Source organism: Homo sapiens, chromosome 16 (assembly GCF_000001405.40).
Source record: "Homo sapiens chromosome 16, GRCh38.p14 Primary Assembly".
Lineage (NCBI taxonomy): Eukaryota > Metazoa > Chordata > Mammalia > Primates > Hominidae > Homo > Homo sapiens.
In genome coordinates this window covers 16524078-16542519 of record NC_000016.10, presented here as the reverse complement: position 1 = coordinate 16542519, position 18442 = coordinate 16524078, and the positions used below count along the sequence as shown (strand labels likewise).

The 18442-nt window shown below is 42.2% G+C and overlaps 1 pseudogene, besides 1 other annotated feature; it reads left to right on the top strand.

The window, feature by feature from the left end:
• Positions 685-1297, top strand: LOC100133127 (geminin, DNA replication inhibitor pseudogene 1; annotated as a pseudogene).
• Positions 2683-3448: an enhancer, noted in NCBI's record as "OCT4-NANOG hESC enhancer chr16:16632929-16633694 (GRCh37/hg19 assembly coordinates)". NCBI's record gives its function as "activates a minimal SCP1, AML or CMV promoter by ChIP-STARR-seq in naive and primed H9 embryonic stem cells {active_cell/tissue: H9 hESC(naive and primed)}" and the evidence as "EXISTENCE:reporter gene assay evidence [ECO:0000049][PMID:30033119]".

The window sequence follows — 18442 nt, the reverse complement described above, 5'->3', positions numbered from 1 at the left end:
CAAGTGATTCCCCTGCCTCAGCCTCTTGAGTAGGTGGGATTACAGGCACCCACCACCAAACCCAGCTAATTTTTTTTTATTTTTAGTAGAGATAGCATTTCACCATGTTGGCCAGGCTGGTCTCGAACTCCTGACCTCAAGTGATCTGCCTGCCTCAGCCTCCCAAAGTGCTGGGATTAAAGGCATGAGCCACCACACCCAGCCGACATACTTGTTATATATATACTTTTTATTTTATTTTATTATACTATCTACTTTTCTGTTTGAAAGTTTCATAATAAAAGTCAAAATAATTATAATATGCTATAAATGGAAAATGCAATACAATTGTATGGCACTACGATTAAAAGTATACCTAATGCTAAATGACGAGTTAATGGGTGCAGCACACCAACATGGCACATGTATACATACGTAACTAACCTGCACGTTGTGCACGTGTACCCTAAAACTTAAAGTATAATAATAAAAAAAATGAAAAAAATATGCAAAATTACATATATAAAAACTACTCAAAGGAGTATGTTCAAGAGGAGTAAGTCTTTTCAGCAGTGTGCCCCAGCCACTCCAGCGACAGTGGGGATCAATGTAGGTTGGCTGTGCCACAGTCACCTGAATTCACTATGATCATTAATCCTCTCCTCCCATCTTTTGTGCTTTACCAGCTGTATAATGAATCCTAGGATAAAGTAGAAACAAGGAGGAATCAAAGATGTAAAGAACAGTTTCTCCCCAAGAAGAACTCTGAAGATGATTCATCCTTCCACAGCCAGATCTCTTGTCGGAAAAAAAAAAAAAAAAAAAAGTGACTGGCCCAAAGCATATCCAAGAGGAAGCATTGGAATGACCAGTTGACAGCCAGGACTTCCCACTCTAGAGTTGTCATTGTCCCAGAATAGAGTGACAATTAAAATCTTGGAGGAGTCACCCAAGAAGCATTTGATTTTAGGATTAAATGAAATTTATCCCCTCAATATTGGAGAGAAGTAGCAGAACAAAGGAACACCCTCTATGAAACACTTAAGGAAAATGAGAGGCTTCACAGAGAAATTGAAGAAAGAACAATGAAATTGACCACTTGGAAAAGGAGAGTAAACAATTGGCAAAAGCGGCAGAGTACAGTATATGACAGAGGCAACCCAGAGACTGAATGATGAACCTCTGGATAACTCTGAAGCACCAGATAGTCAGGAATTTGATTCTGAAGAGAAAACTGGTGAAGATTCTCAAGTGGAAAACCCAAAAATTGGCACATGCACTGAGAATCCTGTCTTCCTCTACAGATGCAAAACCTTGCACGTAAAATTTAGGATTCACAACTGTCAAGATATGAAACCAACCTAAGTGCCCATCGACCAATGAGTGGATAAAGAAAATGTGTGGTACATATACACCATGGAATACTACTCAGCCATGAAAAAATAATGATATAATAATGTCATTGCAGCAACTTGGATGGAGCTGGAGGCCATTATTCTAAGTGAAATAACTCAGGGATGGAAAACCAAATACCATATATGCTCACTTATAAGTGGGAACTAAGCCATAGGTACATAAAGGCATACAGAGTGATATAATGGACACTGGAGACTCAGAAGAGGAGAGGATGAAAAGGGAATGAAGGATACAAAAACTACATATTGGGTACAGTGTACACTACTCAGGTGACAGGTACTAAAATCTTAGACTTTACCACTATATAATTTATAATTCATCCATGTAACCAAAAACCACTTGAACCCCAAAAGCTATTGAAATATATGTATATGTAAACACACACACACACACACACACATATGTAAGTCTTACATGTTAAACCTATTAATATTTGACTCTTGAGAAATATACCATCCAATGGGTTCACCTGGCCCCCTGCCTAGACAGAGCCAATTTAGCAAGATGGGGGAACTGCAGTGGAAAAACAGTAATTCACACGGAGCCACGTGTGCGGGAGACCTGAGTTTTATTATTATTCAAATCAGCCTTCCTGGAGCATTTGGGGATCAGAGTTTTTAGAGATAATTTGGTGGGTAGCGGCTCAGGAAGTGGTGCTGATTGGTCAGGTTGGAGATGGTATCATAGGGGGTCGAAGTGAGGTTTTTTTGTGGTCTTCTGTTCCTGGGTGGGATGGCAGAACTGGGAGCCAAGTTACCAGTCTGGGTGGTGTCAGCTGATCCACTGAGTGCAGGGTTTGCAAAATATCTCAAGCACTGATCTTAAGTTTTACAATAATGACGCTATCCCTAGGAGCAATCTGGGGAGGTTCAGACTCTTGGAGTCAGGGGCTGCATGACCCCTAAACCATAATTTCCAATCTTGTAGCCAATTTGTTAGTCCTACAAAGGCAGACTGGTCACCAGGCAAGAAGGAGGTCTTTTCAGGAAACGGCTATTATCAATTTTGTTTCAGAGTCAAACTGTAAACTAAATTCCTTCCCAAGGTTATTTCGGCCTATGCCCAGGAATGAATAAGGATAGCTTTAAGATTAGATAAAAGGTGTAGTTGGTTAGGTCTGATCTCTTTCACTGTCATAATTTCCTCAGTTATAATTTCTGCAAAGGCAGTTTCAAGTTTACCTCCAGTATAGTTCTTTAAAGCAGAACACATAACTACATAATGCAACCTCTGAGATCAAAATTCTTTGTTTGAATCCTGGGACCCTACTGTATTAAAATATAAACACTGTATATTTTTAATTTATGATGTTTTATGTGAACAGCATTTTCTCAATTGTCAGACATGACTTGTGTAATTGACTAAAGAAACTTCAATCTCCTATTGAAAAAAAAAAGACAGATATTCAAGGGGTCGTGGATGAGTCTGAGTGTAATTCATGGTTGATTTCACTTCCTGGATGTTAAAGTAATCTGTAATTATCTGCTTTTATATTGAAAAAAATTGACAAAATCTAACAGTGTCAAAATGCAATATTATTAATCATTCATGGCCTAATATTAGAAGAGAATTAGCAGAAAACACAGCAGAGACGAGAGACTTGCAGACTGGAGTTCTTCCCTTCACTACGAAGAAAGCATCTAGAGGCGGAATAGATTTGAATGGGCATACATCTGCATAATGACTTTTCCTTTGTTCTTTTCTCACTGGCTAATTGAGTAACTCCTACAACAAATATGCCTTCAGACTTCACACCAGATTAGAGCCCTTTGTAAATACAATTAAAGTTGGGAATATGCTTCCCCTAGCTGGTAAATAAATTCAGGAAGTCTGAGGTTTAGCACTGCATGCCAAGATGTCTAAGTAAATCTCAAATTCTTCCATATTTTGAAATAAACACCAAGGATTATCAAATGCCAAGAACTCCCAAGAAGAAAATAGCTCACCTCACTCTCTGAATCAGAGACCCTCTCCAATCAAAATGTCCCACCTGAAAAGTAGTCTTCTCTCCTACCCCATCACAGACATATGGATGTTACTGATGTCATGTGTGTCTGGAATATTGCCTGGTTCCTATGACAAGAACAATAAAATCTCTTAGTATTCTGCGGCAAACAGTCTCTTTCTCATTTATCCACCTCTGCATTGAACATGAGTCCCTCCTATGGGCCCAGGCATTTTTCTAATCATTGGCATCACAATAGTGAACCAAACAAAAATGCCTGTCCTCAGAGAGCTTAGTTTTTAAAGGGTTCTTCCAAAATCCTAGCAGTGGTGACCACAAGCAGAGGAAAGATCCTGGGTAACCCGAGTCAGGTTATGCAATGCTTGTGTTCATCATGTCGGGATAAAAATCTTCATCTGATTTCAGACTCACCACACGGCATCGTCATAAGGTCATAAGTCATGGATCACTTGAGGAAGCACTAAGCTAAGAGGAGAAAAAGTGTCCTTGAACCTTTCTGAACCCAATGGTATCTGCCTAAGAGATGGGGAAGCTGAACTAGGTCACACCGAGATGAGAAGGGGGCTCCACCCATGATGTCCTTGTCTCAGAATAAGTCAGCCTCTTATGTTATAATACGTGGATCAAAAGAACAGGATGGGCTGGGTGCAGTGGCTCATGCCTGTAATCCCAGCACTGTGGGAGGCTGAGGTGGGTGGATGACCTGTGGTCAGGAATTTGAGACCAACCTGGCCAACATGGTGAAACCCCATCTCTACTAAAAATACAAAGAATTAGCCAGGCGTGGTGGTGGGTGCCTGTAATCCCGGCCACTCCGGAGGCTGAGGCAGGAGAACTGCTTGAACCTGGGAGAGGGAGGTTGCAGTGAGCCGAGATTGCGCCACTGTACTCCAGACTGGGCAACAAGAGCAAAACTCCATCTCCCAAAAAAAAAAAAAAAAAAAGAACAGGATGTGGGATCAGAGGAGCCCTCCAAGACAAGTGGCTTCAGTTCAAATATAAGCTCTGTCGTTTGTTCACAGTGTTTCAACAGACAAAGTACTTGAGTGTCCTGCCTCCGTTTCCCCATCTGTAAGCTGAGGTGAGCAAGAATACTTCACAGAGTTGTTATGAGAGGTAAGTGGAATGTTTCATGGGAGGCAGTAAGCACAGTGCGTGCCACACAGTAAACACTCAATAAATGTTAGCTATTTCCCACTAATACAGTATAGTATATATAATATAATAATGTTAGCTAGCTATGAGTCATTATGAACTTGGTTACTCACCCAAAGGCCCCAGTTATATCCTGAATGCACACCATGTGCCAGGCATCATGCTAACTGCTGTTTATATTTTCTTTTTTACTTCCTCCAGCAGCCTATAATGGAAGTTATCATGGTCTTTATTTTACAGGTGAGGATACTGAGCTCAGAGATGTGAAGCAACCTGCCCAAGGTCATGCAGCCAGGAGTGGCAGGGTCAAGATGCAAACCCAGGCAGAAATTACTCGAAATTCCGTGTTCTCTTCCCAACACAATCTCTGTCTTATTTCTGTCTTTCCAATGACACCAGTATTTCCAAGCTTTCACCTTACCACATTCTTTAAGCAACACATTATGCAGATTTTTTTTTAACTGGCAACCTGAGGCATGTCTCTCTTAACCGCTGTCAGCCTAAGCTCACTGCTAAAGCACCATCTCTATGTGCCCCCAGACCTTTGAGCACTATCAAAATCAGAAATGCATTCACTCTGTAACTCAGCAATTCTACTTTTGGAAATTTATCCTAGAATATACGTACACCTGTACACAATGACATACATGCAATGTTATTCATCGCATTGTGGTTTGTAATAGCAAAAGATGAGAACTTTCCCAACTGTTCATCAAGAGAGAAATAATTAAATAAGACATAATATAGCCATTATAATAGAAAAACATATAATTATAAGTAAGAATGAAAGAACTCACTATACCCTGATACAGAAAGATAAGCAGGATATAAGTTTTAAAAGGCAGGATACAGAACTGTCTGTGTAATAAAAAAAAAAGAAGTGCATATACATTTGTATTTGCTTGTACGTACCTGAAATTCTGCAAAGATAAAGAAGAAACACGTAACAATGGCTGTCTGTGAAAAGGAAATGTTCCAGGCAGAAGGGACAATTTTCACTGACTATTCTAGCATACTCTTGTTTTTAAATTTTTCAATCATATGAATTACTGGCCTGTTCAAGAAATGAAACAATTTTAAAAATACGGGTCTTAAGAGTATAGGATTAAGAGTATAGGATTTTTTTTAAGAGTATAGGATTAAGAATCAGAAATTTGAGTCCAAGTTCGGGGCAAACTTGGATACCTTACTTTATTTCTGTCAGCCTTCATTTCTTCATTAGCAAAATCTCCAAGTCCCTAAATACTGGGGACTTTGGCCAACGTTATCATCATCATAGCTACCATTTATTAAGTGGTTACTTTTGCCAAGCCCTATACTAGAGCCTCCTAAGAATTTGCCTCATTGAGTCATTGCAAGCAACCCTACGAGATAGGAACTATGATTACTCCCATCTCACAGATGAGCAAACTGAAGCTCAGTGCGGGGGTGTAACTTGCCCAAGGTCACACAGCCAGTATGTGGCAGAACCAGAATTCAAACCCAGGTCTCTCAAGCCTGTATTTGGACTCAATGGTTTGCTGCCTCCATCCACATTGACAATTTTCCTAGTTGTGTTCCCTGCCTCTTGCATAAATCCCACCCACCAGTTCCCTTCTGAAATTGCCAGCCTCCACCAGGCCTGGCCCTCGCTCATTTCCAATCACCCTTTATCCACCATAGCTTTGGAAATGGACTGTTACTAATGGCTAGTCATATGTCAGCCTAATGAATGGGAGGCAGACTTCCATTAAAATAATGAAATTAGCGAGTTTCAAATTTGGTTACATCGCATGGCACACAGCCTCAAGTAATGACCACCCCATGCTCCTTCCTACAAATTAAAGTCAGTTTATTTATTTAAGGTCTTTGGCTTGGCCATCTCTATTAAGCTCACATCATCTGTTTAGGGATGGATTTTTTTTTTTTTTTGGCCTTGTTTGTTTAAATGATGTTCGGGCTGTTCCCCTGATTAATAAAGTCGTAAACACAGTCAGGAGCAGCTTCTGAACCATGTGCAAAAGCAAAGAATGTAAGTCAAAGAACAATTCTTTGGGGGTTTGGGTTTTGTTTGTTTGGGGTGTTTTTTTTTCCTCCAAAGGATGGAAACAATAAGAAAGAAGCTCTTTGAGCTCCAGAAACTCCAATTATGCTGACATTTCTGCTGCAGAAACACACCAAGCTCCATTTTGCAGGAACCCAGTGAACTAGCTAATCAGATTTCCTTGGATAATTTGCTCCAAAGGTCAGCTGCCTTAAAAAGCACCCAGTGCCTCATTATTTGGTAAAGCAGGCTGCACGCGGGCTGCGATTTGGAACTCAGCCTCCCATGGCAAGGTAGTTTTTCTGGAATTTTTTAGCCCAGACCCTGCAGCCTTAGCTTTGGCCAAAGTCTCATCCACCTTTGTGATCAGCCCGCAGACAAAATCATTACCAGAAAAAGCACCTGAATCTCTGAGTCTGTGAGGTCTCTGTCTCCAAGACAGGTCTCTCTCGTGTCCCAGGAGCACCAAAGATGGCAGACTCATCTGAAATGTTCATGCCATTGGTCAATTTCAAGGGAGGCTTTTACTGATACTGTGATGGGTAGGCGGCCAGACCTAGGTTCTAATCACCAAGTCCAATTCTACAAAATCCCTAACCCAGTACCCCTCAAAACTATCAAGATCATGAAAAATAAGGAAAGATGGAGAAATTGTTCCATACCAGAAGAGACTACAGAGACGTGAGAATAAATGCAACATGAAACTCTGGATTGAATCCTGGACAGGAAAAAGACATTAGTAGAAAAACTGGTGAAATTCAAATAAAATTTGGAATGCAATTAATAGTTTCCAAAGTTGTGACAAAGACATTAACATTTTTTTAACATTAAAGAAGCCGGGCACAATGGCTGACACCTGTAATCCCAGCACTTTGGGAGGCCGAGGTGGGCAGATCACGAGGTCAGAAGTTCAAGACCAGCCTGGTGGTCTTGACCACCAACATGGTGAAACCTCGTCTCTACTAAAAATAAAAAAATTAGCTGTGAGGTGACGTGTGCCTGTAGTGCCAGCTACTTAGGGGGCTGAGGCAGGAGAATTGCTAGAACCAAGGAGGTGGAGGTTGCAGTGAGCCGAGATCGTGCCACCACACTCCAGCCTGGTGATCGAACGAGATTCCGTCTCAACAACAACAACAAAATTTAAGAAAAACTGAAACTGAGAAGGGATTTCTTGGAACTTGCTATAGTATCATTGTAACTTTTCTATAAATCTAAAATTATTTCAAATTTTAAATATCTGTATATACCATTAAAAAATCCATTGTGTATTAGTTATAGTTTGATGAAAATAAGTTTAAATAATACATAATTATTGTTCTATTATAAACTTGATATCCTAGTCCTGATATGATATCATAGTCTTGACATGTGATATCATAGTCTAAAAACAAAACAACAAGACCAGAGAGGAAGGTAAAGCCATTCCTACAACTGAATTTTTATTCAATCTCTTTTAAGATCCCAGCAAAGAAAAAAAGAAACAACAAAAAGTAGGACTTTGGTTAAGCTAAAATAAAATATGATGGATAGTCTCTCTCTATAAACTGACACAGGAAAATCCAAGACAAAGAAACTAGGTTTTGTTTGTTTGTTTGTTTGTTTTTACCACTCCCACCAACCTCACCACTCTGAAGGATTGTAATATCACAAGAATAGCTTACAAAGCAAACATCACTGGCTTAGCTTCCACTCTCACAGATTTTTAAGACACCCAGCTCCAATCCTCACCCTCTGATCCTTCTCATCTTGTAGAAAGAGATGCATGAAGAATCCATTGTGAACCAGGCATTGTGCTTGATGACGGAGACACCAAGTCAACTTGGACCAGGTCCTTCCCCTTAAGGAGTCTTGGAAAATTTGCTCAAGAGAGTCTCAGCTGAATCTCGAAGGAAGAAGAGGAGGTAGTTGGATGAAGAAAGAAAGGAGGCTTCCAGAAAAAGAGCACAGTGCATGCCAGGACATCTAAATCATGACACTTAGATACCTGCAGAAAGAGGACAAAATTGAGGTGGGAGGAGTTAGAAAGGGCCCCCAGGTAATGGCCTTGTGTGGTAAAGGATTTAACTTTCTCCTGAAGGAGATAAGGAGTTTTAAGCAAGCATTTTAGAAAGATTCAGCAGAGGACAGTGGATAGAGGGTGAGGCCAAAAGCAGGAAGACTATCATCCAGGCCAGACATTTCTGAATACAATGCCCAGAGACAGTGGGAGAGATTTCTCCAAGGATTCTTTGCAGGAAACAAGGGTCCCTGCAATGATGAGACCTGAGTTTCCTATTTCTCTAGTAGCTTTGTAGCTCAGCACCCATCCCAACTGCAGCTGGAAGATGTCCTCTGCTATTTCTCCATTCCATACTCCAAGTCCCTGCCCTGCAGTATGTATGTACCTTTTGCCACCCACCCTCTGACTCTGTTACATTGTATATTGAATCTTCAACCTAAAGATCTCAACTGCTTACAAAAAAGAAGAGAATTATGTGGGCTTAATAATGTTAAGGGCAGTTACCACATGAGCACTGACTATATCCAAGCATTGTGTTAGCCTTTAACCTGCAAAGAAAAATACAATTATCCCCATCTCAGAACATAAGAGGAAAATTGAGACTCCCAAGAAGTTAAATAACCTCCTATATAGCTTTTAACATGGGTGGGGATAGGATATGGATTTGAGAATGTCTGATTCCAACCACCCTTTTATGGCACCTCACTGGCTCACTTTTAATTTCACTTGCTGATTTATTACAAATCTCCCTCTCCTTCAGAATCAAACACAAACTCATTATGCTGGGCCAAAATAAAATCTGAATGGCCATACCCAATTGTTTTTAAAATGTTCAGCCTTCCCTGACAGATGTATGACATTGCAACACTACAGCTTTGGAGTGGCTGGCTTAACGCCAAGGAGTGGTTCCAAATCTCTTTTCCAGTGGAACAGTAGCACAAATTTGGTCTACCATCTAAAACCAAATAATGGCTGCCCTTTTCCTCTTCCTGGAAAAAAATGACATAGATGGGTAAATGGATTAATGAATGGATTAGATGGATAAATGGATGGATGAGTGAATAGATGGATGGATGGATAAATGGATGTGTGTGTGGATGGATAGATGGATGGATAAATGGGTAAGTAAATGAATAGATGGATAAATGGATGAATGAATGGATAAATGGATGGATGAATGAATGGATAGATGAATGCAAAGTGGATGGATAGATGGATGGATAAGTGGATGAAAGAATGGATAGATTAATGGAAAGTAAATAGATAGATGGATGGATAAATGGATGAATGGATGGATGGGTAAATAGATGAATAAATTGATGGATGCATAAATGGATCCATCTATGGATAGGTGGCTAGATAATAAATGGATGGGTAGATGAATAAATGGATAGATGGGTGAATAAATGAATACATGAATATACATTTACAATATAGAATATTTCTCAAGGGGAACATAGAAAACTATCAATAGTGGTTGCCATTTCTGTGAAGAAACAAACTGGTTAGGACAAGGATGGGAGTGGAAACTACCTTTTACTATACACTCTTTTGTATCTTTCCAATTTTGAGCCATACGTGTATAATACCTATTTTTAAAATAAATAGCAATATAAAACTAATTTCAAATACTTTTGTTAAATGTATATATGAATGGGTGGACAGAAGAATAAATAAGTCCTAAGTTTTTAAACAAATAAGATTCAACTGTTATTTTCCCCACTGATTTTTCTTTAAATCTCGGCACTAACTTCTACTTCCCTACATAAGAACATAATGTAATGCGTATCCACCTTAGCGCACAATCAACTACAAAATTTGGTTATTCAAATGGAATATGTCAATAACATTGTGTTGCTTTGCAAAGAGCACCTTGACTTCAAGGTGTGTCCGCTTACGTCTGTTCAAGGACCTCTCTGCAGGAGTTAGAGTAAGGGACAACAGTGCTGAGGCCTGGACACATGATCCCACCCAAGTTTCTTTTTCTGTTGTTGGTTTTTATTTTGTTTTGTTTTTTTGAGACAGGGTCTCACCCTATCACCTAGACTGGAGTACAGTGGCACAATCTCGGCTCACTTTAGTATCCACCTTTCGGACTCAGGCAATTTTCCCATTTCAGCCTCCTGAGTAGCTGGGACTACAGGCATGCACCACCATCCCTGGCTAATTTTTTGTAGAGATGGGGTCTCATCAGGTTGCCCAGGCTGGTCTCAAACTCCTGGACTCAAGCGATCTGGCCTGCCTTGACCTACCCAAAGTGCTGGGATTACAGGTGTGAGCCACCACACTTAGCCAAGTTTCTTTAAGCCATAATTCTCCTCTGTGCAAGACCTGCATACTGGGCTTCTGAACACTGCCCCCTGCACCATTTGGGGAACATAAGGAAGGGCTATGAGTAAGGAGACCTTGCCAAGGGAAAGATTAAAAAACAAACAACTTCCCCAGCCACCATCAATAGCATTTCCAGGAAGAAATAAACAGAACGGACTCTTGGCCATAAAGGATTTATCACTTTCCTTTCCATTGGTGTGGAAATGAAGCAGGGTTGCTTCAAAACTGCATTTTCCAGCTTTCCAAGGAGCTGTGTGGATTCCATATCCTAGAGAAGTCGACACCGTTCTAGTAAGTTGGCATGGACCCCAGGTCCTACCCTTAAGGGCTTAATACTCTGATGCAATATATAAAATATAATTTAATAAAAGACTGAGGCAGTATTTGTGTACCAAGTGTCTATAGCAAGTACCAAGGTATTTGCATGGATTGGGGGTGGTAGCAAGTGTGTGATATTCTCCTTCTAAATCCCCTGCATGTGGGGATGGAATTTTTAACAGTGGGCGATGTGATAGGACGATCAGAGATATGCAAAACCACCTTTTTAGTGGTGGGACACAGTCACAGTTCTATTCCTTCTGGGACTATTTGGAAATCACACATTTCTCATCAAGTAAGAAAATGAAAACAGAGAAAAACCAGTTGACAGTGATGGCTCAATAGCGCCATCTCGTGGTGATCTCTGTCCCCACTCCAAGAGCAGTCCATGGGCCCCACCCCTTCCGGGATGTTTTGCCCCCTCTGTATCTGAGTCCCAGAAGGCAGTGCAAAAGGGATCTGGGCAAAACAGAGTATCCTACAGATTGGAACAGTGACCAACGGCATCTTTAAGGAGGAGAAATTTGAAATGGGTTCTAAAGGAATAGATACCCAGGCATCAAAGAGAAGCAAAGACATTTTTGATGAAGGGCATAGTGCAAACCAAGGTTGGTGGCTGGAAAATGTCAGATCCTTTGAGGATATGAGGCTGGAAAGTCAGTCTGGGTTGGTGAGGACTCAATGCTGGGCTGCTGTGGGCATGAGATGTCCTTGGGGAGGTACAGACTTTCTGCGAGACAGAAAGTCAAAAATCATCTCCATTCACCTGTGGACCAGCACCGTGCTAAATTACATCACATACATCAGTTTATGTATGCATAAACATACATCAGTTTATCTGCCCTCAAGGGGTGATACTATTATGAACCTCCACTTGACAGATCAAGAAAGCAAGGCCCAAAGAAGTTAAATCGCTTACCTGAAGTGACTTAGCTAACAAGCAGCAGAGCCAGGATTTGAACCAAGATCTCTGCCCAACTTCAAAGCATGGTCTTGTTCTTCATAAAGGTGTTCTCATCTGCAGGTCTCTGCTGTTGCTTGTGGCAAAGACAGTTGTCACATATGAAATTGCTCAATCCAAAGTGCTTCTGCTTTAAATCTAAATAGTTACCAAACATTCTGCCCCCTGTAAAGCTGAAGTTTCTCCCGAAGGCTTCAGGCTTGTGCCCTAGGAATTCTTGCCACCTGGCCAGCTGGTCACAGTGTCTTTGAATGACTGGGGGACAGATGTTGGCAAAATGGTAAAGTGTGACGGTTAATTTCATGTGTCAACTTGACTGAGCTAAAGGATGCCCAGATAGCTGGTAAAACATTACATCCGGGTGTGTGTGTCTATGAGGGCATTTCTGGAAGAGATTAGCATTAGAATCTGTAGACTGAGTAAAGAAGACTACCCTCAGCCAGGTGCGGTGGCTCACGCCTGTAATCCCAGCACTTTGGGAGGCCAAGGTGGGCCGATCACGAGGTCAGGAGATCGAGACCATCCTGGCTAACATGGCGAAACCCCATCTCTACTAAAAATACAAAAAATTAGCCGGGCGTGGTGGCAGGCACCTGTAGTCCCAGCTACTCGGGAGGCTGAGGCAGGAGAATGGCGTGAACCTGGGAGGCGGAGCTTGCAGTGAGCCGAGATCATGCCACCGCACTCGGGCCTGGGCAACACTGCAAGACTCCGTCTCAAAAAAAGAAAAAAAGAAGACCACCCTCACCCATGTGGGCAGACATCATCCCATCTGTTGAGAGCCCAAACAGAACGAAAAGCAAAGGAAGTGTACATTTTCTATTTGAGCTGGGACATTCACCTTCTCCTGACCTTGGAGATCAGAGCTCCTGGTTCTTGGGCCTTCAGACTTACCCTGGGACTTAATGTCATTGGCTTTCCTCATACCCCACCTTGCAGATGGCAGAGCATGGAACCTAGCCTCCATAACTGCATACAACAATCCATATAATAAATAGACATATATATCCTACTGGTTCTATTTCTCTAGAGAACCCTAATACAGGAAGGTTGTGAGGTCTGGGATCTAAATCCCAGCTCTGCCCCTGAGTTGTTCAAGCATAGCCTGTCCAAAGCTGAGTTCCCTTGATCTTTTTCCCCAAACTCCTCCTCCTCTACTAACCCAGCCACCATCAACGCTCCTCCTCCAACCACACATTCCACCTTGCCCCTCCTGGAACAGAGATTCCCACCTCAGGACCTTTGCACTGGCTGTTGCCTCCACCTAGAACTGCTTTGCCCTCCAATATCGACACTGCTCCCTCATGTCCTTCAAGTCTTTGCATAACTGTCGCCATCTCAATGAGGCCAAGCCTGGCCACCACCACCACCCCGAACTGCACGCCCTACACCCCGTTACCTTCTCTGTATTTCTCATAGCAGTTGCCACCTTCTACAATGCCATGTAATTTACTTGTTTTGTTTCCGGTTTACTGTGTGCCTTCCCCCACTGGTATCAATGTGCCCCAGTGACTGGTAGAACCTAGGTAGTAACTGAACACGTGTTCCCTATGAAATTGGTTTAACTCTGCTGTATGTGCGAAATTTTTTGTAATAAAATATTAGGGATAATGGTCTCAAAGGCAGTCGTTTTATCTGCTTTGTTCACTGATGTATCCCAAGTGTCTGAAACAAGACCTGGCTCATAGAAGGTGCACTATAAACATTACTGAATGGAGGAATTAAGGAGTACATGTGTTACTTAGGGCAAGTTATCTTATCTCCCTAAAGCTCTAGGTGTCAACTACAAAGGGGCAAAATAGTAGCTATTTTTCATTTATTAAGTATTTATTGAGCATCTACTATATATCTAGAACTACTATATATGTAGGTACTAGAGATACAACTGTGTGAAAGACAGACCAAGTCCTCCTTCTCATGGAGCTTTCAATCCAGATAGGGAAACATGACCACAATTTCATGTAACTCCTTCATTTATTACTTATTGAGCATCTACTATATATCTGGAACTATGTAGGTAGTAGAGATACAACTGTGTGAAAGGTAGACCAAGTCCTCCTCATGGAGCTTTCAATCCAGATAGGGAAACAAGACCACAATTTCATGTAACTCCAATGCCATCTATGAGATTGCCTAATACCTGTGTGTCCCAACTCTGTCACAGGGATTCAGGGAGGACCACTCAGCTGAGTGGCATCAAAACTGAGCACTGAATCTTAATTGTTAGGATTCTGCTAATAAGAAAAATGCATCTTTATTTTGCTGAGGGCGACAATGTATCCAGCTAAAAATCATCTTTCACTAGCATCTCTTGCAGCTAGGGCTGGCCATCTGACGTAGTTGTGACCAGTGAAAAGAAGGGAGAGCGCACCTTTAGTTTTCTGGCTTGCTGCCCTCCCTTGGCTTCTATGCCTGCTGACGTGATGCCTGGAGATGAAGCAGCTATTTTGTAACCATGAGGATAGAAATTGCACAGCAGAGCAAGAAAATGAAAAAAGTGGGGGTTTCTGATGGTCTCTTTGATTCACTCTACCAACATGGCTTGCCTACTGTTTAGCTTATTGTGTAAGCCAAATAAACCCTTGCACCTTCAAGCCATGATAATAGAGTTTTCTGATACTTACAGCCGTATCTGTTGTCCCAAGCAAGATATGAACGAGGTTAAGAGGATGAAAGTGAAATGTACTAAGCCCAGGGCACAGCATGTGCAAAGGACCAGAGGTGTGAGTGAGCAAAGTCAATTCCAGCAACACAAAGTTCAGGGCAGCTGAAGTGGAGTGGGCAAAAAGCAGGTGGTGAGTGAAGAGTTTGCAAGAGCAAACAGGGATCCCACTGAAATCAAGGTTTTGTAAATCGAATTGGAGAAACAGTGAAGAGCCATAGCAAGCTGCTAAGAAAAATTTGAGTTAATTTATGGAAAGTGTCCAATGCACAGTGGGTGCCCAAGATATAAGCACCGTGAGTATCATCTTACCTTGGAATACACACAAAATTAACTCCTCCGACAAAATGAAGATGCATCACTTTTATCTGCAAGCCTGCCGGAGGTCACAGACACGTGCAGAGGGAAAACAGTATGGTGAGACGGAGAAAAACAATCCAGCCAGGACAGTTACACCGACGCTTTATTCATATCTGCCACCATCGGGATTGATTCCCACACAGTGACTCACTCACAGCACCAACCTCTTTAATCAACTGTGCTGAGCAGTGACATCCAAGCTCACCTCGGAAAACGACGGAAACTCCAAGGCAAGGTGGCCTCCCGAAGTGGCCTTTTCCCTTCCCTCCTCATCCCTGGGCTGTTTCCAGCAGACGGCAGTGAACGCCTAAATGAGGGTTTGATCAATGGAGGCCAAGCTGATATTGACAAAGCAGCTGCAGTTTCCGCAAATCACCCAGCACTCATAGATACTGAAGATTAATCTTTACAAATACGGGGCAAAGGGGGAGAGAAAAAACCAAGTCGATTTAGTTTCCGATTATTACTTTCTCCAGAAGGCACTGAAGAGTCAAAAGTTTAACTGATGTACATTAGACAGGGAGACAAATCCAGAAATATCACCCAATTACCCGGTAGCTTCTAGAAGGTATTTTTCATGACAGCAGGTGGGTTTGCCTTTTCTAAATCAGGAAGGAGACAAGACACCGCTAAGAGGATGTTGACTTGGCCCAGCGCACAAGCACTAACCTCACCGGACAAATAGAAGCCTGAAAATTTGTCCTCAGTCTACACGGTCCCCATGAAAACACATTTCCACCGATTTCCTAGTTATTTCTGTTTTATGCCTCATGTTTAGAAAGTAAATTGTTCCTTCCTGGAACAAGATGGACTTTTTTTTAACTACAAAGAAATAATAAATAAGTGCTTAGCCTCCCTAGGCCTCCATTTTCACATCCAGAGAGTGGGTACAGCCCAGGACGTAATGTTTAGAGGGCACTGACACCATCTAGAGTGGATCATTCTCTACCATGCAGGGCTATTCCGCCCACTGCAGGATGTTTACTGGCATCCCTGAAGTCTACGCACCAGATGCCAGTAGCACCATTTCCTCATCCCCAGTTGTGACAACTGAAAATGTCTCCAGACATGACCAAATGTCCCTGAGAGACAAAACCACTTGCATAGTCACGAACAGATAACACGACTAAGAATGGGGAAAACGTGAATCAAAAGATGTTCCATGCTGTGTTCACATAAGCAATAAAACCAAATGCTTGAATTTGATGCTAGTTATAACCTTTTTATTCATGTCCATGTCACAGCCAAAGAACTGTTTTTGTTTTTTAGGTTTTTTTTTTTGCAGAGACAGCATTTCATTTATTTCAGGACACTTTCACAGAAGTATTCATATATTCTGGCAAAATGAAATCATATATTACACAAACATTTCATTTCCATAGTTAGTACAGAAGAGGAAAAATTATTTGTGGTCAAAATTACTCCTGAGATTCCTTTAAATCAACCATAATTTATAGAGTGTGCATGTACTTGTGTATGTAATCATTTTAAGTCATAACTATGCCCCTCGAACAGTTGGAAGTCACTGAGCTGGACCGAAGAATTCACAAAAGAGAAAGCTCTTCACAGATACTTGGGTTTTGAAACCATTCTGCCATTAGATAGCTACCTAGTCCTCAAGGTGAACTAAGCACGATGGAGGAATTCCAAGTGTGGCTTCCCACCTGCAGGGTCGACTCCACTGAGACTCTGCTGCTAACCTCAGCATACAACCCTAGATGATCTTGTCGTGAAGATGAAGGAGATCACAGACAACATCTTGCCAGGGACTGAGTTTTAATGCTGGCGTTTTAGTTATCCTGTTGGGCTACAAAAACATGTCAGGCAAGATGTTAAGTTTTGTTTAAAGCATCAAGAATTCCAGGCCCGGCGCGGTGGCTCACGACTGTAATCCCAGCACTTTGGGAGGCCTAGGCGGGCGGATCACGAGGTCAAGAGGTCGAGACCATCCTGGTTAACACGGTGAAACCCCGTCTCTACTAAATATACAAAAAATTTGCCGGGCGTGGTAGCGGGCGCCTGTAGTCCCAGCTACTTGGGAGGCTGAGGCAGGAGGATGGCGTGAACCCGGGAGGCGGAGCTTGCAGTGAGCAGAGATCACGCCACTGCACTCCAGCCTGGGTGACAGAGCCAGACTTCGTTTCAAAAAATAATAATAATAATAAAGAATTCCAAAATCAAGTACAAAATCAAAAGGCAGATTTTCAAACAAAATCTTTGAAAAGTGGTTCTGGCCGGGCACAGTGGCTCACGACTATAATCCCAGCACTTTCGGAGGCCAAAGCGGGCGGATCACGAGGTCAGGAGACGGAGACCACCCTGGCTAACACGGTGAAACCCCGTCTCTAGTAAAAATACAAAAAAAAAAAAAAAAATCAGCGGGGCGTGGTGGTGGGCGCCTGTAGTCCCAGGTACTCGGGGGAGGCTGAGGCAGGAGAATGGCGTGACCCCGGGAGGCGGAGCTTGCAGTGAGCCGAGATGGCGCCACTGCACTCCAGCCTGGGCGACAGAGCGAGACTCCATCTCAAAAAATATATATAAATAAAAATAAAAGTGGTTCTGTCCTGCTTACACCCTCTTCTCACGCTTTTCAGGCACAAAGAAGGGCCAAGAGCAAGAGAGGATTTCTTTGGAGAGAGTCTGTTGAAGACACGCCTTCATGTTACAAGATCTTGAAACTCATGGGCACCATGGTCTGGGATCTGAATCCTGCAGCAAAGCTCTTCCAGGCTTCCTGCTATGCTGCCTGGGGTAACTGCACAAGGCCCCATAATTAGACGACCCCACTGTGATGCTGGCATTTTGAAATTCCTATAATTTTTTTTTTTTTTTTTTTTTGAGACAAGGTCTTTCTCTGTCACCCAGGCTACAATGCAGTGGCATGAACATGGCTCACTGCAGCCTCAACCTCCTAGGCTCAAGCGGTCCTCCTGCCTTAGCCTCCCGAGTAACTAGGACCACAGATGTATACCACCATTCCCGGCTGATTTATTTATTTATTTATTTTTTAATTTATTCATTTTTTTTTTTGTAGAGATGCAGTTTTGCCATGTTGCCCAGGCTGGTCTCAAACTCCTGGACTCAAAGCAACTCCCCAGCCTCAGCCTCCAAAAGTATTGGGATTACAGGTGTGAGCCCCTGCACCCAGCCAGAATTCCTATAATTTTCATAACAAGAATCCCCACATTTTCGTTTTGTGCTGGGCCCTGAAAACTATGCAGCCAGTCCTGCCCAGGATGCTTATTTTATTTCATTTTCCCAGCTTTAGAGGG